At 41.8% G+C, this 24,023-nt stretch overlaps 2 protein-coding genes and 1 non-coding gene across 16 annotated transcripts in view, besides 4 other annotated features; 1 reads left to right on the top strand and 2 right to left on the bottom strand.

Moving 5' to 3' along the window:
* The window catches only part of FAM114A1 (family with sequence similarity 114 member A1), a 77,934-nt gene extending 76,595 nt beyond the window's left edge, over positions 1-1,339 (bottom strand). For 8 of the 10 annotated variants that reach the window (NR_033290.2, NM_001375792.1, NM_001375793.1 and 5 more), the window contains exon 1: positions 1,311-1,339. The gene's annotated coding sequence lies outside the window, so the exon portion shown is untranslated. Of the gene's footprint in view, positions 1-598; positions 748-1,310 lie in introns of all 10 variants that reach the window. The other 2 variants (NM_138389.4, NM_001330764.2) reach the window with 1 other exon arrangement.
* Positions 205-788: an enhancer, noted in NCBI's record as "H3K4me1 hESC enhancer chr4:38869978-38870561 (GRCh37/hg19 assembly coordinates)". NCBI's record gives its function as "activates a minimal SCP1, AML or CMV promoter by ChIP-STARR-seq in naive H9 embryonic stem cells {active_cell/tissue: H9 hESC(naive)}" and the evidence as "EXISTENCE:reporter gene assay evidence [ECO:0000049][PMID:30033119]".
* TLR6 (toll like receptor 6) overlaps positions 755-24,023 on the top strand; it is a 45,494-nt gene continuing 22,225 nt past the window's right edge. For 2 of the 5 annotated variants that reach the window (NM_006068.5, XM_047449496.1), the window contains exon 1: positions 12,328-12,384. The gene's annotated coding sequence lies outside the window, so the exon portion shown is untranslated. Of the gene's footprint in view, positions 1,220-11,389; positions 11,458-12,327; positions 12,385-23,022; positions 23,316-24,023 lie in introns of those variants that run through there. The other 3 variants (XM_047449498.1, NM_001394553.1, XM_005262637.6) reach the window with 3 other exon arrangements.
* Positions 996-1,045: a silencer, noted in NCBI's record as "silent region_15365". NCBI's record gives its function as "represses an Ori minimal core promoter by ATAC-STARR-seq in GM12878 lymphoblastoid cells {active_cell/tissue: GM12878}" and the evidence as "EXISTENCE:reporter gene assay evidence [ECO:0000049][PMID:35858748]".
* On the bottom strand, positions 1,018-1,113 carry MIR574 (microRNA 574). The gene has a single exon (NR_030300.1). It is a non-coding gene; the product is annotated as a microRNA 574 (primary transcript).
* Positions 1,096-1,575: a silencer, noted in NCBI's record as "silent region_15364". NCBI's record gives its function as "represses an Ori minimal core promoter by ATAC-STARR-seq in GM12878 lymphoblastoid cells {active_cell/tissue: GM12878}" and the evidence as "EXISTENCE:reporter gene assay evidence [ECO:0000049][PMID:35858748]".
* Positions 10,680-11,879: an enhancer, noted in NCBI's record as "MED14-independent group 3 enhancer chr4:38858887-38860086 (GRCh37/hg19 assembly coordinates)". NCBI's record gives its function as "activates an origin of replication core promoter dependent on BRD2, BRD4, P300/CBP and CDK7 cofactors, and independent of MED14, by STARR-seq in HCT116 cells {active_cell/tissue: HCT116}" and the evidence as "EXISTENCE:reporter gene assay evidence [ECO:0000049][PMID:35650434]".

Here is a 24,023-nt window from a genome sequence, read left to right as displayed (position 1 = left end):
GGTTGGTTTCTGTCCCTCAGATATTTACTGAATTGAAATACATTGTGTTTGATATTAATAAAAGAGAAACCATGTTTGATGTAAGCCTGGTCAAATAAACAAAGACAAGTTTACTTTTATGGTCTGAATCGCTCAGATTCAAGAAAGCCCCCTCCAACCCTCAAATTCCTTCTGCACTGTCTCACTTGTGCCTCAAATCCATCCCTAACGTCTCATTCCTTCACTTAAAGGTTACAATGTAAGAAGTTTATCAGATTCTTTCCCAAGCTCAGGCTTGATGGAAGAAAGGAGGGCGGGGACGCAGGCCTATGGGTGGGGTAGGGAAGGAGCCACTAGGCTGCAGAGAGGGCAAAAAGAGGCTCTGAGGATAGAGCCTGTCTCATTCTCAGTTGTCACAGGTTGGCTGAGGTCACAGGGAGTTCAGAGCACACTGATTTAAGAAGCCACCTGCCTGTGTCCTTCAAGATGTTTAGGATGGGAAATGATGGGATCAGTAGGGCATAGGTAATGCTCTCACAGCCCATAGAGAGATGTCTTCCTACTTAAGAAAAGGCAGTGACGTTCAGGCGCCTGGTCTGAGGTGCCTGGAAATACTCACCGGATGGCAGAGGCGAGGGCTAGCCGACTGGGTGGAGGGGGCCTGGGGATCTGCGGTAGGGAGTGGGACCCATCCCGGGGGCTGCGAGTGGAGGCGGTGCCTGCTTAGAGTGTTGGCTGGACTGGAAGAGCAGGCAGGGCGTGGGTCGGCTGTTGGGGGAGGAGTAAGGCGAGGGGAGCGGGGAGGTCAAGGCCTGAGCTCCCTGTGCCAAGGCCGAGGGCAGGCGCACCCTGGGACGAGGCCTCTGTCTTACAGGGACCTGCTCCCTTCGTGCCCGGGCTGGGGGACCCTGCAGCCCACCTCTGACTTGGCCCCGAGCCATTGGGGGCACTTTTCCAGACTTGCTTGGTGCCAGGACTGGATACTTTGGGAGATCCAGGCAGGCTCCGCGGAGGTTCACGCAGGCCGAGGGGGCAGACCCTGAGTGTGGGCGTGTGGGTGTGTGCATGAGCGTGGACCCGGAGCGACACACACTCACACACACACACTCACACGCCCGCACCCACGCAGGTCCCTCGGCCGCGCCGCCCCAGACCCTCACCCCAGAGCCGGGTCCTCCCTGACCACTGCTTCTCACTAACGCAGAGGGCAGGATTCGTGGGTCCCGGACGAGGCGCCAAGGTATGGTGTTCCCACCACCCCCGGGCAGCCGCCCCCGCGCTCGCCCGCCCCCCGGGGAAGGGGATGGGGACCGAGTGCCCGGGGCTCTTACCGCTCAGGCGGCCGAGTACGCGCGGGAGTGCCCAGCGGGTCCCGCCCCGCCACGTCTGCAGGGCCGGCGGGGACGCGGCCGGAGGGCGGGCGGCTGGAGAGGGGGCCCCGCCCCGCCTGCGCCCCGCCCCACGAGGAGCGCCGCGGGGACGCCCGGCCACCCCCACGCTGCGAGGGCCGGGCCCGCGCTGGGCGAGTCTCCTGGAAACTTGGCTTGTCCCACCCCTGTGCCAGCGCGGAAAGCCAGAGCGCGCCGCCTCTCCAGCCCAGGGCGGGTGGGTCTCGGGGTTCGCCAGATCCCTTTCCTTTCCTTAAAAGGGCTTGGAAAACCCCCCGCCGTGTCACTGGGAAGAGGTCGCTCAAATTCAGCTAAAGTTTGATCTCCTGATTCTGCGTTAAGCAGCACTCCCTTGCCCTGTCGGTGGGAGTGTGATAGATTTAAAACAAACAAACCCCAAACAAACAACGAAAACCCACTTTCCAGAAGGCCAGTTTGGAGCTGTGGGTTAAAACTCCGATGTATTAGCTTTGGCCTAGGAATTCCACATTTGTGAATTTGTCCTAAGTAGGCAGTCAAATGGGCAAATATGTATGTACAAGGATGTTTGTTGTAGTTGTTTCTGCGGGGGGAAGCCGGAGACAATCTCAATGTCCCCCAGTAAGATTGGTGAAGTAAGCTACAGTAACTTCAGACATCGAATATGTTGTAGCCCTTAAAAATGAGGATTCGTTGACATGGAGGGAAGGCCACATATGAAGGCCTTCCTCAAATATGGCTTAATATGAACTCAGATGCGGAGGAAGCGCAGTGTTTATAGTATTAACTAGTTTTGTAAACAATTTTGTATTTTCTATAAAAGTCGGAGGAAATACAATTTAAAAATAGTGATTCTTTCTGAGCGATGTGTTTAAGGCAGATTTTCTCCTCTCTCACTCCATCCCTTCTTCTTTTTGAAGAATTATAAATTCAAAGTTAAAGAAAAAATAGCCCTAGTCTCTCCCTTTCAATATCACTACCATTTTTTATAGTGTGTGGATCCTACCATAGTTTTTCTAAGCTTATATAAATACATGTATGCATAAACAGCTTTTTGTTTGCTTTTTTATAAAAATGGCGAGATGTTGACGTATTTTGTAAATTTCCCCCTATTTATTATATATTATAATCATCTTTCTTGGTCAATACATATCAACCAAAACCACTCTTCTAAGACTTGTCTTATATATTGCAATATGTTTGTAATTATATTTCATTCAATCATTCTCCTATTGACAATTAGTTTGCTCCTTATATTCCAGTTTCTTCCATATATATATTAATTAATTTATTAATTCATTTTTTTGAGATGGAGTCTTGCTCTGTCGTCCAGGCTGGAAAGCAGTGGCGTGATCTCAGCTCACTGCAGCCTCTGCTTACTGGGTTCAAGCAATTCTCCTGCCTCAGCCTCTTGAGTAGCTGGGATTACAGGTGCGTGCCACCACACCCGGCTAATTTTTGTATTTTTTAGTAGAGACGGGGTTTCACCATGTTGGCCAGGCTGGTCTCGAACTCCTGACCTCAGGTGATCCACCCACCTCGGCCTCCCAAAGTGCTGGGATTACAGGCATGAGCCACCGTGCCTGGCTATATTTCTTATTTAATATTTTTATTAAATATTTTTATATTAATAATTTTTTAAGCTACTGAATATTTATTTTATTTTATTTTTTAGGAGGACAGAGTCTTGATCTGTGGCCTAGGCTGCAGTGCAGTGGCACCATCTCCATCTCCTGGGTTCAAGCGATTCTTCTGCCTCAGCCTCTTGAGTAGCTGGGATTACAGGTGCGTGCCACCACACCCGGCTAATTTTTGTGTTTTCAGTAGAGACAGGGTTTTGCCATGGTGGCAAGGCTGGTCTCGAACTCCTGACCTCAAGTGATCTGCCCACCTCGGCCTCCCAAAGTGTTGGGATTACAGGCGTGAGCCACCACACCCAGCCTGTCATTTTTAAATTCATAGAAAAACCAGAAAGTTATCTTAATGTGAGAGTGGGTGGAAACTGCTTTAAATTGAGATCAATAGCCTTTTTGAATTGAGCGAGACTTTGAACCTTAACTAACACGTGGCTTCTGTAACTCAGTTTTTCCACCTCTAAAATAAAGAGCATTGCTCGGCACAGTCCCTTCCAGTTCTGGCTTTGCGAGTGTTATCAAATTATGTTCCAGTTGCAACAGGTGTGTTTTGGTGTAGCATATACACAGACGTCTGTGCCTGGGACTTCTGCTCCTGCCCAGAGACAGCAAGCACCTTTGCTAACCTGCCTTCCCTTCCCTGCTGTGCCGTAACAGCCCAATCAGATGTTCTCTTTTTAAAGGGCTGAGTTCCTCTTCTCCTTTGACCCAAACCACACCTATCCAATAAAGAAAATAAAGCAAACTATCCTGGCAACAAGTTTGTTTTTTGTTTTGCCCACTGCAAATTTGTCCCTTTTACTCATGTAGCTGCTTCCAGGACTACCAGATTTTATTTCAGATATTTTATTTATTTGCAATGTAAAACATTTTAAGTTCATTTAAAAATTTTCTGGAGTATTTAAAATATATAGAAAAGTAAAGAATAATATGACAAATACTTATTTGTGTAAAAAATATAGGAAATACTATGATGATATCTAGATTTAACAAAATTTTTTGCAGTATTTATTTTAGAATTTTCTTTGCAAAGAAAAAAATGTTACGGATATGTTTGAAACCCTATCCCTTCCATTGTCCACCATCTCTGCAGGTAGCCATTTTCTTGAGGTGGTTGTATATCCCTCCCACCCATATTTCTTTCTTTCTTATTTAGGAATGAGGTCTTACTCTGTCACCTAGGCTGGAGTGCAGTGGTGTGATGACGGCTCAGTGCGGCCTCAGACTCCTGGGCTCCAGCAATCCTCCTGCCTCAGCCTCACAAGGAGCTAGGATCACAGGGTGCCACTGCACCCAGCAAATTTTTAAATTTTTTTGTAGAGTCGTGGTCTTGCTGTGTTGCCCAGGCTGGTCTCAAACTCCTGGCTTTAAGCAATCCTCCCGCCTCAGCCTCCTAAAGTACTGGGACTACAGGTGTGAGCCACCATGCACAGCCCCCCTCACTCATATTTCTAAATGTTTGCTGCATATGTCCTCACCCACAAATGCACGTATAATTGTTTTTCAATGTTTTAGAATATTAAGGACATCCTGTACACTTGTTAACTTGCATTATATTTTTGAGAATCATTCATATTCACACATGTAGCTCTAGCACATTCATTTCAAAGTCTTCATAGGAGGGCATGAATATGCCACAATTTATTTCCCGATTGATCTACTTTATTGTGCTTCATATTTCACTCAATTACATATAATGCTACAATTGCCACCTTTGAATATATTTTTTAGTATCTAGGAAAAAAATGGAATAGCTGGTTCCCCTTTACTAGACATTGCTGAGTCGCCCTTCATTATGGGTCAACCATTTATTCAACATAACCTTTCTGAAAGCATGCACTGTGTACCAAATACGGCTGTAGGTGCTTGGAGTACAAAAGAAGCAAAGCAAACTCCTGGTATTCAAGAACTTACACTCCACAGAAAGGGAGATAGACCCTAACTAGAGGGTCTATATGAGGTGGTGGAGTAAAGCAGGCTATAGAATCTACAGGGTTTAGGGAATGATGGGTAGGACCAACTGTGGTCAAGGAAGTCCTTACTGATAAAGTGGCATTGCAATGTAGACTTTAAGGAAGTAGGGAAATGAACAGTGGCCATATCTGTAGACAGTCTCAGGCAGTTTGGGAGCATGGATGATGCATTCACAGAAAGGTAAGGTGGCCAGTGTGGCTGGAGCAGAGGGAGGATGGGGAAGAGTAGAAGAAAATGAGGCCATAGAGGTAGTGGAGGCTGAGAGATGGGCAGAGGGATTTTGGTTTATACTTTGAGTGAGACTGGCACCCTTATGGCTTTTGAGTATGATTCTAGTATCTGACTCTAGTCATATTGGAATTGGGTGAAGGTGGGAGGGGAGAGAAGGATGGAGGCTGGCATACCTGTTAGGATGCCATTGCAGTTATCCAGGTGAAAGATGATGATGCTTTTGACCACCATGGGAGTAGTGGGGGACATGAGAGGTGTTTGCTTATGGACATATTTCAAAGAAAAATCCAACAAAATTTGCCTATAGATTGAATGTAGAGTTTGAGCAAAAGAGAAATTAATCATTAATCACTCCAAGGATTTTAGTCTGCACTACTGGAAGAGTAGAAATATCATTTATTGATATGAGGAAGGATGCAAGAGGGGGCAGGTTTGGAGTTAGAGGTAGTAAAGATTCAGGCATTTGGCTTGCAACAGTAATGGTTTAGCAAGCATTTAGCAGGCTATTGAATGTGAGTCTGAAGTTCAGGGAAGTCTGGGACTTCATCCTGGTTTGAAGGACCAGGATGAGAGTGCATGGAGTTAGAGATGTGGTCCAAGACTAAGTCTTGGGTATTCCATGCCAGAGATATAAAGAGGACCCAGAAGGAGACTGGGAAGGAATGCCAATGAGTTAGCAGGAAATTCAGGGAAGGGAGAGTGGGGAGTGGGATATGGGGTCTAGGAAGTCAGGCAAGAAAACATTTCAGGATCTTTCAACTGTGTTAAACGCTGCTAATAGTTCAAAGAAGCTAAAAATTGAGAATTGACCGTGGATTTGGCAATGTGGTGATCATTGGTGACCTTGAAAAGAGCTATTTCTTCTGACCGGTGGGGAAGGAAACCTGACTGAAGTACATTTAAGAGAATGAGAGGAGAACAATTAGAGATAGTCAGTAAAAGCTCTTGCAAGGAGTTCTGGTATATAGAGGAGCAAGGAGGGGAAGGTTGTGGATTCAAAGGGAGTTTTTTTTTTTTTTTTTTTTTTTTAGATGGGAGAAATTATTGCTTTAAAATGTGATTGGGGGCCGGGTGTAGTGGTTCATGCCCGTAATCCTAGCACTTTGGGAGGCCAAGACGGGCGGATCATGAGGTCAGGAGATCGAGACCATCCTGGTTAACAGGGTGAAACCCTGTCTCTACTAAAAATACAAAAAATTAACTGGGCGTGGTGGCACGTGCCTGTAGTCCCAGCTACTCGGGAGGCTGAGGCAGGAGAATTGCTTGAACCTGGGAGGCGGAGGTTGCAGTGAGCTGAGATTGCACCACTGCACTCCAGCCTGGGTGACAGAGCAAAACTCCATCTCAAAAAAAAAAAAAAAAAAAAAAATGGTGATTGGGGCCAGGTGTGGTGGCACACGCCTGTAATCCCAGCACTTTGGGAGGCTGAGGCGGGCAGATCACTTGAGGCCAGGAATTCAAAACCAGCCTGGCCAACATGGCAAAACCCCGTCTGTACTAAAAATACAAAAATTAGCGGAGAGTGATGGCACACACCTGTAATCCAGGCTACTCAGAAGGCTGAGGCAAGAAAATCCCTTGAACCTGGGAGGTGAAGGTTGCAGTGAGCCAAAGATCATGCCACTGCACTCCAGCCAGGGTGATGGGAGTGAAACCTTATCTAAAATAAAAAAAAATGTGATTGGAATAATACATCAGAGCAGAAAAATGTTGATACAGTAGAGAGAAGATCATTGCAAGAGTGACTTCCTTGAGTAGATGAGCAGGAAGGGGACCCAGTGCTCAGTGGGAAGGGGCTGGCTCTTGGCACAGAGAGTTCATTCCGAAGGACAGCAAGAGTTCAGGTAGAACTCATGCAGGGGAGGCTTATAGAATTTCAGGGGAAGATGTGGAAATGCTCCTCTGGTAGCATCTATTTTCATTGTGAAAATGAAGCATCATCGCGTGAGAATGTTGGTTTTCAACAAGAATGTTTTAGCAACTATTTAGTAGGCTGTTGAATGTGAGAGTCTGGAGTTCAGGGAAGTCTGGCCTGGAGCTGGTAATTGAGGAGACATCAGCAAGCAGATAGTTTTGAAGCCACGGACCCAGATGACAATGCATGGATTTAGAAAAGAAGTGGTCCAAATCTGAGCCTTGGGTAATCCATGCCAGAGAGATAAAGAGGACCTAGACACGAGAAGGAGATTTTGGAAGTGAAAGAGACAAGAGGAGGTGTGAAAGAGGAGAACAGGAGAGTGAAGGGGCTAGGGAAGGGTAGTAAGGAGGGTAGGAGGATGGCTGCTCTCTTGAGGCTGGGATCTAGTCATACATTTCAAGTAAGCCAGTCAGCATGGGTGTGTATTTTCTCCAACTATATTCAGCCACTCAAGCTCAGTGTAGTCCAGTGGAGAGCTGGATTTAAACTGGGTTGAGGAAAGAGGAGTAAGTAGCTGCAGAAGAATAATGAAGAGGATGGAGCATGATCTTTCAGTCCAGTGCAGTGGGGCTGGGGAATCGTTGGCACTGGAGGAAGAGTTGGAGGTGAGAGAAGGAAAGTGGGATTCAGGCAACTGAGATTATGGAGGGGGTGCAGCCATTGCTAATAATGATATCTAGGATATAATAAGGGAATGCATGACTGAGGTAGGGTGCAGGACAAGATTATTAGAAGAGAGAATGTCCAAGAACTCAGAGGCCAGGTGAATGGAAGAGTCTCTATGTAGCTATGGAAATCACTAGAATTATGAAAGGGGTGGTATCGGATTGAAATAGTGAGTACTGCTAGAATACTTGATGAAGTGATGGGGCTCACTAGATGACTGCAATGAGAAGGGGTGGGTTTGGAGGAAGGAAAGTGATCTGGAAGTAGCAGTGAGAGTCAAGAACACCTGCACCACCTCCCAGGCTCTGGTGTGTGAAGGGTGCACCCAAGAAGATATAGACCACTAGAGGGCGCTGTGCTCAGGCCAGCGTGTAGGTCTCAGTCCCCTGATTTTCATGGGGTTACAATGAAATGGACTCACCTGAAGAGCTTTCAAAATAAAACGTATGCCCGGCCCCTCCCAGACCACTTACATCAGCATCTCTGGACATGTATGTGAGCTCCTGTTTCTTCATGTTCTGGCCACCATTTGTATTACTAGATGTTTTAAATTTTGTCCACCTTAGGGGTGTACAATAGTGTCTCCTGGTTGTGTTAATTTGTATTTTCCCATGTTCTAATGAGGATGCATACCTTTCCATGTGTTTGAGCTATTTCTGTTTCCTTTTCTGTTATCCATCTGTTGATCTCCTTTGCTCATTTCCCCGCATTGGGGTTGTTAGTCATTTTAAAATTGATTTGTAGGAAATCTTTATATATTTTGTATATTAACACTTTTGTGATTATACAAGTTGCAGATACCTTCTCCCAGTCTGCGGCTTGTCTTTTTTTTTTTTTTTTAATTCAGCAGAGAAGTTTAGGTTTACTATCAATACTTAATATATAAATTAGCATTTTTTTTTTTGAGACAGAGTCTCGCTCTGTTGCCCAGGCTTGAGTGCAGTGGCACGATCTCAGCTCACAGCAACCTCCGCCTCCTGGGTTCAAGTGATTCTCGTGCCTCAGGCTCCTGAGTAGCTGGGACTACAGGCGCCAGCCACCACATCCAGCTAATTTTTGTATTTTTAGTAGAGACAGGGTTTCACCATGTTGCCCAGGCTGGTTTTGAACTCCTGACCTCAGGTGATCTGCCTGCCTCAGCCTCCCAAAGTGCTGAGATTACAAGTGTGAGCCACTGCGCCCAGCCAAAATTATCAATCTTATCTCTGTCGTATGTGTATCTTATGATATTGATAATTGTCACAAAACTTACTTTAAAGCTGTTGGTAGACACTAATATTTATTTATTTATTTATTTATTATCTGGAGAAAGACAACATTTTTTAACAAGTAAAAGTCATCAAAATAATGTTTTGCCTGTGTCTGTATTGGGACAGTGTATTGGGTGGCCTCAGATTATGTTTATAATACTTAACCCAGTGTGACACTATTTTTTAAAAATTAAGACATATATACATATCTATATATAGTGAAGAATTCAAATAGGACAAAAAGCATAAAATGGTGAAGAGGCCGGGCGGGGTGGCTCAATCCTGTAATTCCAGCACTTTGGGAGGCTGAGGTGGGCGGATTGTTTGAGCCCAGGAATTCCAGACCAGCCTGAGCGACATGGCAAAACCCTGTCTCTGCAAAAAAATATAAAAATTAGCCATGCATGGTGGTGGATGCCTGTGGTCTCAGATCCTTGGGAGGCTGAGGTGGGAGAATCGCCTGAGTGGGGAAAGTCAAGGCTGCAGTGAGCTGTGATCACGCCACTGCACTCCACCCTGGGCAACAGAGCGAGACCCTGTCTCAAAAAAAAAAAAAAAAAGGCCAATAATCTATTTCTCTTAGTTCTTCTGCTCAAAGGTGAACATTTCTTATGTATCTTTTGAGAAAAAAAGATTCATATGCCTCTATCAACATATGTATGTAGACCCTTGTATTAAGTTTCCTGTGGCTACCATGACAAATCACCACAGACTGTGTGGCTTAAAACAACAAAAATTCATTCTCTCAGAGTTCTGGAGGCTAGAAGTTCAAAATCAAGCTGTTCATAGGGTGATGCTCTCTCCAGCCTCTGGTGGCTCCAGACATCCCTTGCATTGTGACTGCAATACCCCAGTCTCTGCCTCTGTTTGCAAATGCTCTGCTTCTCTGTATCTCTCTTCTCTGTGTGTCTTATGAGGACACAGGGTGTCTTCTAAGGCAGCATAGTATGATGCTTAAGTGCATAGGCACTGGGGCCAAACTGCCTGGGTTCGAATCCCACCCCCACCACTGACCAGCAGTGCAAGCTGGAACGATTACCCAGCTGCGCTAAGTGGAGATGACGTGACAGTACTTATCTCACAGCACCTTAATGAGTTAATACTTGGAAAGTAGTCACAGCAATGCCTGGCAAGAAGATAACCTGTGTAAATGGCTAGATTTTATACAATTGATGTCATACTCTTCTTACAGTTCTGCACCTTAATTTTCTTTCTTTCTTTTCTTTCTTTCTTTCTCTCTTTCTTTCTTTCTTTCTTTCTTTCTTTCTTTCTTTCTTTCTTTCTTTCTTTCTTCCTCTCTCTCTCTCTCTCCCTCTCTCTCTCTCTCTCTCTCCCTCTCTCTCTCTCTCCCTCTCTCTCTCTCTCTCCCTCTCTCTCTCTCTCTTTCTTTCTTTCTTTTTTCTTTTGAGCCAGAGTCTCACTCTGTTGCCCAGGCTGAAGTGCAGTGGCACAATCTCAGCTCTCTGCTACCTCTGCCTCCTGGGTTCCAATGATTCTCCTGCTTCAGCCTCCCGAGTAGCTGGGAGTACAGTTGCCTGCCACCATACCCAGCTAATGTTTGTATTTTTAGTAGAGACAGGGTTTCGCCATGTTAGCCAAGCCGGTCTCGAACTCCTGACCTCTGGTGATCTACCCACCTCGGCCTCCCGAAGTGCTGGGATTACAGGCATGAGACATCGTGCCCAGCCTGCACCTTGATTTTCTTCACTTCATAGTATATCCTGAAATCTTTACCCCTCAGCATACAAAAAAACTATATGATTTGCACCAAACTCCTTACTATTATGACTTCTCTTCTGTGTCAGTCACTATTCCAGCCACTTTAAATTCATTATCTTTCCTAAAAGTACTCCCATTTTGTGGATGAATAAATGGAGGTTAAGGGACTTGTCCCAAGCCTCACAGTAAGTGGCCAAGTGGAGGTTCGGCCCAGTACTGTCTGTTTCTTTGTTTGCTTAACTGTCATTGCCATCTTCGCTATTACTTGATTTTTGTGTTTTTGTCATCCCCTTACAGACGTTTCTGAGTTATGACAGCCTCGACAAGAATAGTCTCCTTGTTTCTGAACATTGGTGTTGTGATGCAATCTCCTAATGAGACATGTCAATGTGCCCAGATCTGCAGTGATAGTTGTCTGTTTTCTTAAGACTTTAGTCCACGGTTACTTGAAATTCCCTCAGAGCCACAGCCAGCCCTTTCCCTTGGCTTGTTTCACAAATCTGGTTTTCCAGGGTCACAGATACCTGCTGCTTTCTGGCTGTCTCCTTTTGCCAGTGGAGCAGAGATCCATCCACTCCTTACTGAGCCTCCCCAGGCCTGAGGAGACTTCCTGTTATGTTTGATGAGTAAGGATGAATCACAAGAAGCCAGCCTTTCTCTTCCTCCTGAAAGCAGAAGTGATTCTTACGGAGATGTCCAACTTTGTCATTAGCCAAATTGTAAGGTCTTAACTTGTTGTTGTTTTTTTTTTAATAAAGATGAGATTGTGCCAGACAGTGAGATAAATTATAGAATGATTGTTTCACTCATGCCTTCTGTCCTTTGCAGAACTCAGTTAAGCAAGAAGTCTGGGGAAAAGGGTTTACTGTCCACCAGAAGTCTCTGTTTAACCAGAGACTTCTGGTAATCAGCCTTTGTTGATGTCATTCTGAAATTCTTCTAAATGGTCTTTAGAAAATTGATTTTTAAATTAGTCTTGCAGGATTTCAGTGTTATTTATTATTCCTAAATTAAAATCTAAACCATTTAATAACACCAAATGTTGATCAGAATGTGGGTATGATTGCTCGTACATATGGCTAAATATGTAGTCATAAATATGTATCAACCAGTAAACTTTCCTTAGAAGTTGATTTTTAAAAAAAAACCCAAATTGTGGAACTATACTTATTTTATTTTAAACTATCTCATCCAGCTAAAATAATGCTCAAAATTGCTTGATAAGGGAAACTGCAATTATTCTTGAAATGTTAAATATGGTGATAATAGAAAACAGGCTGTTTAAAATAACTTTCCACTCAGGTGACAAATGTAATAACCAGGCTGCAAACTCTTACAGAGAAATATTACCTTAGAAAAATATTTTTCTTCACATTGAATTGTTTGTAAGTTGCTTCCTCACACGAATTAGAAAATTGGATTACTGGTTTTGTCTGTAGCCCAGAAAAAACTGCTAACTCACCTCCGGACCTTTGAAAGGTAAAAATATACGTAGGAGTAATTCCAGTGTGGGCCAACAGATGGCACCAATCTGTTTCTAAGGTACCGCTTTACTCAACTTTAAGAACTTGTGTTTGTCAAGCATTTTCAATTGTATTTCCGTTCATTTACAAGTTATTTTCTCTTCTTCTGAAAAAGAGATCTTGGTAAGTAGAAAGACTTCTGTGGCTTTTTCACATTATGGCACAGGTGCTTCAAGTAAGCAAGTTTGCTAACCATTCATTATATAGGAAATAGGTAATGTTTCCTTGAAATTTTTGCAAAATGATTTGAAGTGGTTTTTTTTGTAGATGTTGCAAATGTCCTTTGAATTTCACGAGCAGGATGAAGAGCAGCGTCTTTACAGCTGTCTTGAAAAGATAGAAAACAACTAGCGCTTGTGGTGATAATTAAGGAACAAAACTAATGTTATTTATTTCTTCTGATTTGGCCCAGCGAATTTTCTCTTTTCGTCTTTCTCTAGTTTATTGTTTTCAGTAACATTTAACAGTAATTTTTATATACCACTGATATGGCACCTATTTATTATATGTTTTTACAGCAGACGTGTGTTTGATCTCCCTTGTCGTTTGTCACTGTAACAGTTTGCTGGTCTGTGTCTGTCCCTAATTCATAAGCTTTTTGAAAGCAGGAATTATGTCAGTCCTATTCATATTTATATCCCTGGTGCCTAGTGCGTAGCATGGCACTGGCAGAAAAATAGACTCTGAATAAACATTTATTAAATGGAGGAAGTGGCCGGGACCAAGCCCCTTCACAAGCTTGAATCTGGCACAGTGTAGCAATTGCCTTCCTCCAGGTCCTTCCACCTTCAGTTTGACAAATGAAACAATGTTTTTCTTGCCTATTTGTTAACTTGATTATGTGATCTTTCCTCCACTTATTTCACTTAATTTTTTTTCTGCTCTCTTCTTCCTTGTAGTTTTAATTTTCATAGGTCTTGTCTACCCTTTTTTTCTGAAATGTAGCTTATTTCATCTATTTCCTCACCCTTTTTATTTGATGCATTTAAAAAATCAAGAGCATTTACCTGTTTATTTTTACTTTCTTTAAAAAACTGTGAACTCTCTAATCTTCCACTCTCATCTTCCCATTTTTCCCTCCTTTTTTCCCAATAAATAGAAAAGTTACTATCTTGTTCATTTAGTGTATTCCCTAGGAACTGCCTCAGGGTATGAACGCCTCTGGAGGAATATTGCGTTTTTGTGGCAGGATACCATAAGGACAGCTGACCAGCTTTTCCACCTGGTGACTGATTTTCAGTCCCATGAACCCAGACACCGTGGGTCTGGTTGCCGGGGACCTGTAGGGTAGGTCCTCATCTGTGAATGCCAGTTATCTACTATTATCTGAAAGTTCTCCATCTTTATATTTTAATATTCCAAATAAAACAAGCACGTTTCTTTAAATATAAAATATTTTCACACAGCTATAAAGACAACTCTTAAATTGCCTTACGATAACTTTTTTGGATTATAAAGGACATTCAAAATGAGACATTTTAGGGATATCTGAAAGTATAAGAAAGAAAATTAAATTCATCTATAATTCAGAGATTCAGAGAACCACTATTATTAGTATTTGGTATATTTCATCACATTGTTTGTCCTCTAGCTTTTACGTATATGTCAGGTTTTAATCATATTTTGCAAAATTAGAGTCTTACTACATATATAATTTTTTTTTTTTTTTTTTGAGACGGAGTCTTGCTCTGTCGCCCAGGCTGGAGTGCAGCGGCACGATCTCGGCTCACTGCAAGCTCCGCCTCCCGGGTTCACGCCATTCTCCTGCCTCAGCCTCCCGAGTAGCTGGGACTACAGGCGCCCGCCACCACGCCCGGCTAATTTTTTTGTATTTTTTTTTAGTAGAGACGGGGTTTCACCGTTAGCCAGGATGGTCTCGATCTCCTGACCTCGTGATCCACCCGCCTTGGCCTCCCAAAGTGCTGGGATGAGAGGCGTGAGCCACTGCGCCCGGCCATAATTTTCTATTACTGTATTCATTTAACATTATCATTTTTTCAAAGTACAGTATTTGAGGCTATTATTTAATTATACATAACTGATTTAATCATTTTCTACACTAGACATTCTGATTTTTTCAATATTTCATTATGTCATGAGTATCCTTATAGTCATATCTTCTGTGTGTTATTTTTGACTATTTCTTTAGAAAATTCCTTGTAGTGGAATTGCTAAAATAAAGGAAGGTATATTTTTAAGAAATTTATGTAAATTACCAAATTACCCTTTAGAAAGCTTGTACTAATTTTTCATTCCTGCCTAAGTAGTAAATGAGGGTTCTTATTTTAGTTTCCACCTACCAACCTGGATATTATATTTTTTAATTTTCCCTATTTGATAGGTGAAAAAAAAATCTTGCCTTTTAAAAAATCTTTTAAGAAACAAGAGTCCTCCTTTGACCCCCTTCCTCTTTTTATGCTTAAATATCTTATAGTAAAAATAACAGGCATTCTGGAAACCTATTTCTAAAAGCTTTATTCTCTATCTCTAAAAAAATTACATTTTCCTAAAATAGCCAAATAACATTATAAAAAATTACAATTTATTTCTTAATAGCATCTAATGGCTGGTCCATCATAGAATCTGCCCCTCCTTCTGTTACTGAATATGTTTTATAGCAAGTCTGTCTTAACTGAGATCTAATCCAAGATCATGAGTTTCATCTAGATGTTATGTGCTTTTTTGATTTAACGTGCTGTTTTATTTTTTGTGAGATTGCACATTATTCATATTATTGGCAATTGATTTTTGGCAAATTATTCAGTAAATAGTACAGTAAACTTAATTTTGAATGTTAAAAGTTTGAAAAATATAGATAAAAACTAAGAGGAAAATAAAGTTCCATTATAATCTTACTGTGCAAAGATAATTACTGTTCATATCTTGGTATGTATCTTATTAATTTTTCTACTTGCATAGGTACATATTTACTTTGGTACTTTTTAAATAAACTGCTTTTTGTCACATATAGTGAAAATATTTTCATGCAATTCGATTTTTATTATTTTTAAAGGCTACATAGTACTATTTAATTATACAGAGATACTAAAATTTATTTGATAACCTGCTATTTTTGGATAATTGAGGGATTTGTTTTCAAAATAGAATTTATTTTTGCCAGGAGCAGTGGCTTGTACCTGTAACCCCAGCTCCGTGGGAGGCTGAGGTGAGAGGATGGCATGAGCCCAGGACCTTAAGCTATGATTGTGCCACTGCACTCCAGCCTGGGCAGTGGGACAAAACCCTGTCTCTTAAAAAGAAAGTGTTTAAGAAAATAGTAATGATAATAATTTATTTTGTGACGGCCACTTTATTGTAGTCTTTTATTGGTGCTAACATTTTTTCAATGACTTCTCTTTGGCTTTCCACATTGACAGTCTTATAATCTAAAAATAATAATGATTTTCTTTCTTCATTTCAGTATTTCTTCCTGTCATTTTTTTTCTTTATTACAGTGGTTAAAACTTCCGGAAAGAACAATGTGTGCATTCTTTTTTTTTTATTATTATACTTTAAGTTCTAGGGTACATGTGCACAACATGCAGGTTTGTTATATATGTATACATGTGCCATGTTGGTGTGCTGCACCCATTAACTCGTCATTTACATTACGTATATCTCCTAATGCTTTCCCTCCCCCCTCCCCCCACCCCACGACAGGCCCCAGTGTGTTATGTTCCCTTTCCTGTGTCCAAGAGTTCTCATTGTTCATTTCCCACCTATGAGTGAGAACATGCGGTGTTTGGTTTTTTGTCCTTGCGATAGTTTACGAGAATGATGGTTTCCAGCTTCATCCATGTCCCTACAAAGGACATGAACTCATCCTTTTTTATGGCTGCATAGTATTCCATGGTGTATATGTGCCACATTTTCTTAATCCAGTCTATCATTGATGGACATTTGGGTTGGTTCCAAGTCTTTGCTATTGTGAATAGTGCCACAATAAACATGTGTGTGCATGTATCTTTATAGCAGCATGATTTATAATCCTTTGGGTATATACCCAGTAATGGGATAGCTGGGTCAAATCGTATTTCTAGTTCTAGATCCCTGAGGAATCACCACACTGTCTTCCACAATGGTTGAACTAGTTTACAGTCCCACCAACAGTGTAAAAGTGTTCCTATTTCTCCACGTCCTCTCCAGCACCTGTTGTTTCCTGACTTTTTAATGATCGCCATTCTAACTGGTGTGAGACGGTATCTCATTGTGGTTTTGATTTGCATTTCTCTGATGGCCAGTGATGATGAGCATTTTTTCATGTGTCTTTTGGCTGCATAAATGTCTTCTTTTGAGAAGTGTCTGTTCATATCCTTCGCCCACTTTTTGATGGGGTTGTTTATTTTTTTCTTGTAAATTTGTTTGAGTTCATTGTAGATTCTGGATATTAGCCCTTTGTTGGATGAGTAGATTGCAAAAATTTTCTCCCATTCTGTAGGTTGCCTATTCATTCTGATGGTAGTTTCTTTTGCTGTGCAGAAGCTCTTTAGTTTAATTAGATCCCATTTGTCAATTTTGTCTTTTGTTGCCATTGCTTTTGGTGTTTTAGACTTGAAGTCCTTGCCCATGCCTATGTCCTGAATGGTATTGCCTAGGTTTTCTTCTAGAGTTTTTATGGTTTTAAGTCTAACATTTAAGTCTTTAATCCATCTTGAATTAATGTTTGTATAAGGTGTAAGGAAGGGATCCAGTTTCAGCTTTCTCCATATGGCTAGCCAGTTTTCCCAGCACCATTTATTAAATAGGGAATCCTTTCCCTATTTCTTGTTTTTGTCAGGCTTGTCAAAGATCAGATGGTTGTAGATGTGTGGTATTACTTCTGAGAGCTCTGTTCTGTTCCATTGATCTATATCTCTGTTTTGGTACCAGTACCATGCTGTTTTGGTTACTGTAGCCTTGTAGTATAGTTTGAAATTAGGTAGCATGATGCCTCCAGCTTTGTTCTTTTGGCTTAGGATTGACTTGGCAATATGGGCTCTTTTTTGACCCCATATGAACTTTAAAGTAGTTTTTTCCAGTTCTGTGAAGAAAGTCATTGGTAGCTTGATGGGGATGGCATTGAATCTATAAATTACTTTGGGCAGTATGGCCATTTTCATGATATTGATTCTTCCTATCCATGAGCATGGAATGTTTGTTTGTGTCCTCTTTTATTTCATTGAGCAGTGGTTTGTAGTTCTCCTTGAAGAGGTCCTTCACATCCCTTGTAAGTTGGATTCCTAGGTATTTTATTCTCTTTGAAGCAATTGTGAATGGGAGTCCACTCATGATTTGGCTCTCTGTTTGTCTGTTATTGATGTATAAGAATGCTTGTGATTTTTGTACATTGATTTTGTATCCTGAGACTTTGCTGAAGTTGCTTATCAGCTTAAGGAGATTTTGGGCTGAGACGATGGGGTTTTCTAAATATACTATCATGTCATCTGCAAAGAGGGACAATTTGACTTCCTCTTTTCCTAATTGAATACCCTTTATTTCTTTCTTTTGCCTGATTGCCCTGGCCAGAACTTCCAACACTATGTTGAATATGAATAGGAGTGGTGAGAGGGGGCATCTCTGTCATGTGCCAGTTTTCAAAGGGAATGCTTCCAGTTTTTGCCCATTCAGTATGCTATTGGCTGTGGGTTTGTCATAAATAGCTCTTATTATTTTGAGATACGTCCCATCAATACCTAATTTATTGAGAATTTTTAGCATGAAGAGCTGTTGAATTTTGTCAAAGGCCTTTTCTGCATCTATTGAGATAATCATGTGGTTTTTGTCTTTGGTTCTGTTTATATGCTGGATTACATTTATTGATTTGCGTATGTTGAAACAGCCTTGCATCCCAGGGATGAAGCCCACTTGATCATGGTGGATAAGCTTTTTGATGTGCTGCTGGATTCAGTTTGCCAGTATTTTATTGAGGATTTTTGTATTAATGTTCATCAGGGATATTGGTCTAAAATTCTCTTTTTTTGTTGTGTCTCTGCCAGGCTTTGGTATCAGGATGATGCTGGCCTCATAAAATGAGTTAAGGAGGATTCCCTCTTTTTCTATTGATTGGAATAGTTTCAGAAGGAATGGTACCAGCTCCTAGTTGTACCTCTGGTAGAATTCAGCTGTGAATCCGTCTGGTCCTGGACTTTTTTTGGTTGGTAGGCTATTAATTATTGCCTCAATTTCAGAGCCTGTTATTGGCCTATTCAGGGATTCAACTTCTTCCTGGTTTAGTCTTGGGAGAGTGTAGGTGTCGAGGAATTTATTCACTTCTTCTAGATTTTCTAGTTTATTTGCATAGAGGTGTTTATAGTATTATCTGATGGTAGTTTGTATTTCTGTGGGATCAGTGGTGATATCCCCTTTATCATTTTTTATTGCGTTGATTTGATATTTCTCTCTTTTCTTCTTTATTAGTCTTGCTAGAGGTCTATCAATTTTGTTGATCTTTTCAAAAACCCACCTCCTGGATTCATTGATTTTTTGAAGGGTGTTTTGTGTCTCTATCTCCTTCAGTTCTGCTCTGATCTTAGTTATTTCTTGCCTTCTGCTAGCTTTTCAATATGTTTGCTCTTGCTTCTCTAGTTCTTTTAATTGTGATGTTAGGGTGTCAATTTTAGATCTTTCCTGCTTTCTCTTGTGGGCATTTAGTGCTATAAATTTCCCTCTACACACTGCTTTAACTGTGTCCCTGAGATTGTGGTATGTTGTGTCTTTGTCCTCGCTGGTTTCAAGGAACATCTTTATTTCTGCCTTCATTTCTTTATGAACCCAGTAGTCATTCAGGAGCAGGTTGTTCAGTTTCCATGTAGTTGAGTGGTTTTGAGTGAGTTTCTTAATCCTGAGTTCTAGTTTGATTGCACCATGGTCTGAGAGACAGTTTGTTATAATTTCTGTTCTTTTACATTTGCTGTGGAGTGCTTTACTTCTAACTATGTTATCAATAAGTGCAGTGTGGTGCTGAGAAAAATATATATTCTGTTGATTTGGGGTGGAGAGTTCTGTAGATGTCTATTAGGTTCGCTTGGTGCAGAGCTGAGTTCAATTCCTGGATATCCTTGTTAACTTTCTGTCTCGTTGATCTGTCTAATGTTGACAGTGGGGTGTTAAAGTCTCCCATTATTATTGTGTGGGAGTCTAAGTCTCTTTGTATTGGGTGCATATATATTTAGGATAGTTAGCTCTTCTTGTTGAATTGATCCCTTTACCATTATGCAATGGCCTTCTTTGTCTCTTTTGATTTTTGTTAGTTTATAGTTTGTTTTATCAGAGACTAGGATTGCAACCCCTGCCTTTTTTTGTTTTCCATTTGCTTGGTAGATCTTCCTCCATCCCTTTATTTTGAGCCTATGTGTGTCTCTGCACGTGAGATGGGTCTCCTGAATACAGCACACTGGTGGGTCTTGACTCTTTATCCAATTTGCCAGTCTGTGTCTTTTAATTGGAGCATTTAGCCCATTTACATTTAAGGTTAATATTATTATGTGTGAATTTGATCTGTCATTATGATGTTAGCTGGTTATTCTGCTCGTTAGTTGATGCAGTTTCTTCCTAGCATCAATGGTCTTTACATTTTGGCATGTTGTTGCAGTGGCTGGTACCGGTTCTTCCTTTCCATGTTTAGTGCTTCCTTCAGGAGCTCTTTTAGGGCAGGCCTGGTGGTGACAAAATCTCTCAGCATTTGCTTGTCTGTAAAGGATTTTATTTCTCCTTCACTTATGAAGCTTAGTTTGGCTGGATATGAAATTCTGGGTTGAAAATTCTTTTCTTTAAGAACGTTGAATATTGGCCCCCACTCTCTTCTGGCTTGTAGAGTTTCTGCCGAGAGATCAGCTGTTAGTCTGATGGGCTTCCCTTTGTGGGTAACCCAACCTTTCTCTCTGGCTGCCCTTAACATTTTTTCCTTCATTCAACTTTGGCGAATCTGACAATTATGTGTCTTGGAGTTGCTCTTCTGGAGGAGTATCTTTGTGGTGTTCTCTGTATTTCCTGAATTTGAGTGTTGGCCTGCCTTGCTAGGTTGGTGAATTTCTCCTGGATAACATCCTGCAGAATGTTTTCCAACATGGTTCCATTCTCCCCGTCAATTTCAGGCACACCAATCAGACATAGATTTGGCCTTTTCACATAGTCCCATATTTCTTGGAGGCTTTGTTTGTTTCTTTTTACTCTTTTTCCTCTAAACTTCTCTTCTCACTTCATTTCATTCATTTGATCATCAATCACTGATACTCTTTCTTCCAGTTGATCAAATCAGCTACTGAAACTTGTGCATTCGTCACATAGTTCTAGTGCCATGGTTTTCAGCTCCATCAGGTCCTTTAAGGACTTCTCTACACTGCTTATTCTAGCTAGCCATTCGTCTAATCTTTTGTCAAGGTTTTTAGCTTCTTTGCAATGGGTTCGAACTTCCTCCTTTAGTTGGAGAAGTTTGATCGTCTGAAGCCATCTCTCAACATGTCAAAGTCATTCTCTCTCCAGCTTTGTTCCGTTGCTGGCGAGGAGCTGCGTTCCTTTGGAGTGGGAGAGGTGCTCTGATTTTTAGAATTTTCAGCTTTTCTGCTCTGTTTTTTCCCCATCTTTGTGGTTTTATCCACCTTTGGTCTTTGATGATGGTGACGTACAGATGGGTTTTTGGTGTGGATGTCCTTTCTGTTTGTTAGTTTTCCTTGTAACAGTCAGGACCCTCAGCTGCAGGTCTGTTGGAGTTTGCTGGAGGTCCACTCCAGACCCTGTTTGACTGGGTATCAGCAGCGGAGGCTGCAGAACAGCGAATATTGCTGAACAGCAAATGTTGCTGCCTGATCGTTCCTCTGGAAGCTTTGTCTCAGAGGGGTACCTGGCCATGTGAGGTATCAGTCTGCCCCTACTGGGGGGTGCCTCCCAGTTAGGCTACATGGGGGTCAGGGACCCACTTGAGGAGGCAGTCTGTCCATTCCCAGATCTCAAACTCTGTGCTGGGAGAACCACTACTCTCTTCAAAGCTGTCAGACAGGGACATTTAAGTCTGCAGAGGTTTCTGCTGCCTTTTGTTGGGCTATGCCCTGCCCCCAGAGGTGGAGTCTACAGAGGCAGGCAGGCCTCCTTGAGCTGTGGTGGGCTCCACCCAGTTTGAGCTTCCTGGCTGCTTTGTTTACCTACTCAAGCCTCAGCAATGGCTGGCGCCCCTCCCCCAGCCTCACTGCCACCTTGCAGTTTGAGCTCAGACTGCTGTGCTAGCAATGAGCGAGGCTCCGTGGGTGTGGGACCCTCCAAGCCAGGTGCGGGATATAATCTCCTGGTATGCCGTTTGCTAAGACCGTTGGAAAAGCACGGTATTAGGGTGGGAGTGACCCAATTTTCCAGGTGCCATCTGTCACCCCTTCCTTTGGCTAGGAAAGGGAATTCCTGACCCCTTGTGCTTCCCGGGTGAGGCAATGCCTCACCGTGCTTCGGCTCACACTCATTGAGCTGCACCCACTGTCCTGCCCCCACTGTCCGACGGGCCCCAGTGAGATGAACCCGGTACCTCAGCTGGAAATGCAGAAATCACCCATCTTCTGCATCACTTATGCTGAGAGCTATAGACTGGAGCTGTTCCTATTTGGCCATCTTGGAACCACCCCCCCTAATGTGTGCATTCTTGATGTTGACTTTAACAGGAATGCCTTGGGGTGGAATATTGATTAAAGTTAGATATTTGAGGTATTCTTTATAAAGTTTTCAAAGTATTTTTTAAATACCTATAGTTGTATTTAATCAAAGATGAGGACTGAATTTTATCAAGTGAATTTTTCACCTTTATAGAGATGCTCATCTATTTTTCTTGTTTGACTTACTCAATTGAATTATTGTTATAGACTTGTTAATGATAGACCATTTCTACAATCTCAGAAACATCCTAATTACTCATTATATTTTTTCTTCAGGACACAGCTAGATTGATTGGGGTTTCTTTATTCTGAGCTCTATCCCTTCCCCATAAATGACTGAAATTTATCCCTTTTATTTGTATTTTCTCATAATTACTCTTAATTTTATAATATATATACTTACAAATATTTTTCTAACAACATCAGGAGTTAATTGGCATCTATAGCTTCCTTTCAATTAGACAACTATCTTACATGGTTTTAGTGCACTCTCTCCCTCCCTACCCCACCTTCAGCCAACTCCCTTCTCCCTTCTTATCATTGGCAGTTTTTAGCTCGAGATTTCTATTAAGATTTTTGTCATCAATACTTTTTGGTACTTAGCACTAAATTTTACTACTTTTCTTTGCTAAATAATCCTTCTTGTATTTTATTATTTTAGAGTTAATTTCTTTTTAAACTCTCCATCCTCTGGGAATTCAGATATGGATCTGTCTTCCATGTCTTTTAGCATTTTAGTATGTTTTCTGTCTCTTTGGCCTCCCCTGGTGAGTTTGGGAAAATTCTCCTTGGTCTTCTCTATCATTAATTTTCTCATTAGTGGTGCTATTTGCAACTCAAGTCATCCAGTGAATTTTTCTTTTCAATAATTGTCTATAATTTCCATGATTCTTACTCTATTTTTAAAAGAATCTCTCCTCTTTCTGAAGATATCTATTATAAATGCCTATTCTGCTCTTTTATTTCTGTTTAGTTGAGTATTAACTTCTTTCATATCTTGAGTTTGGCTCCTTTCTATTATGGTACTTGCTTTCTGCAGTATCATGCTTCTTGATTGTGCAACTGTGTTTAAGCCTTCTTGTGAGAGTGCTTGTTGATCTATTTTCATAGCCTGCTTGTTGGGATGCTGGATCAAACCAGTCTCTACTAATTTTCTTTTCTTTTCTTTTTTTTTTTTTTTTTTTGAGATGTCTCGCTCTGTGGCCCAGCCTGGAGTACAGCGGCACAATCTCAGCTCACTGCAACCTCCACCTCCCGGGTTCAAGTGATTCTCCTGCCTCAGCCTCCTGAATAGCTGGGACTGCAGGCACCCACTGCCACACCCGGCTAATTTTTGTATTTTTAATGGAGACAGGGTTTCACCATGTTGGCCAGGCTGGTCTCGAACTTCTGACCTGAGGCAATCCATCCACCTCGGCCTCCCAAAGTGCTAGGATTACAGAGGTAAGCCACCATGCCTGGCCCCAGTCTCTACTAATTTTCTGTTGATGCTGTAACAAATTACCACAAACGTTGTGGCTTAAAACAATATACATTTATTATCTTACAGTTCTGTAGGGTAGGAATCTGACACAGGTCTTGTTGGCTAAAATCAAGGGACTGGCAAGGCTGCATTCTTTCTGGAGGCTCTAGGAGGGAATCCAGGTACTTGCCTTTTCAAACTTCTAGAGGCTGCTCACATTTCTTGACTCATAGTCCCCTTCCTTTATCTTCAGGGCCAGCAAGGATGGGCCAAGTTCTTCTCATATCACATCACCCTGACATCCTCTCTGCCTTCCTCTTCCACTTTTAAGGGTGCTTGTGATTATACTGGGGCCACCCAAGTAATTCAGGATAATCTTCCTATTTTAAGATCAGTTGATTAGCAACTATAATTTCATCCACAACATTAATTTTCCTTTGCCATGTAACATAGCATATTCACCAAGTTGGGGGATTAGAAGTAGACATCTTTGGGAGGCCAGTATTCTGTCATAGGTGAGTCCCTTTCTGGATTTCAGAGGCTTCTCGGTTTCAGTCCCCTAAAGGTCCCCTTGCCTTTTAGTGTGTTATGGATCTATCAATCGATCAATATAGATAAAACTTTAATAGATAGATAGAGATATAACTTAATATTTTTCAAAATATTTGGTCATTTCAGGAATTTAAGGC

The sequence above is a fragment of the Homo sapiens genome, chromosome 4 (genome assembly GCF_000001405.40).
Source record: "Homo sapiens chromosome 4, GRCh38.p14 Primary Assembly".
NCBI classification, from domain to species: Eukaryota; Metazoa; Chordata; class Mammalia; order Primates; family Hominidae; genus Homo; species Homo sapiens.
This window is presented reverse-complemented; position numbering and strand designations above follow the sequence as displayed.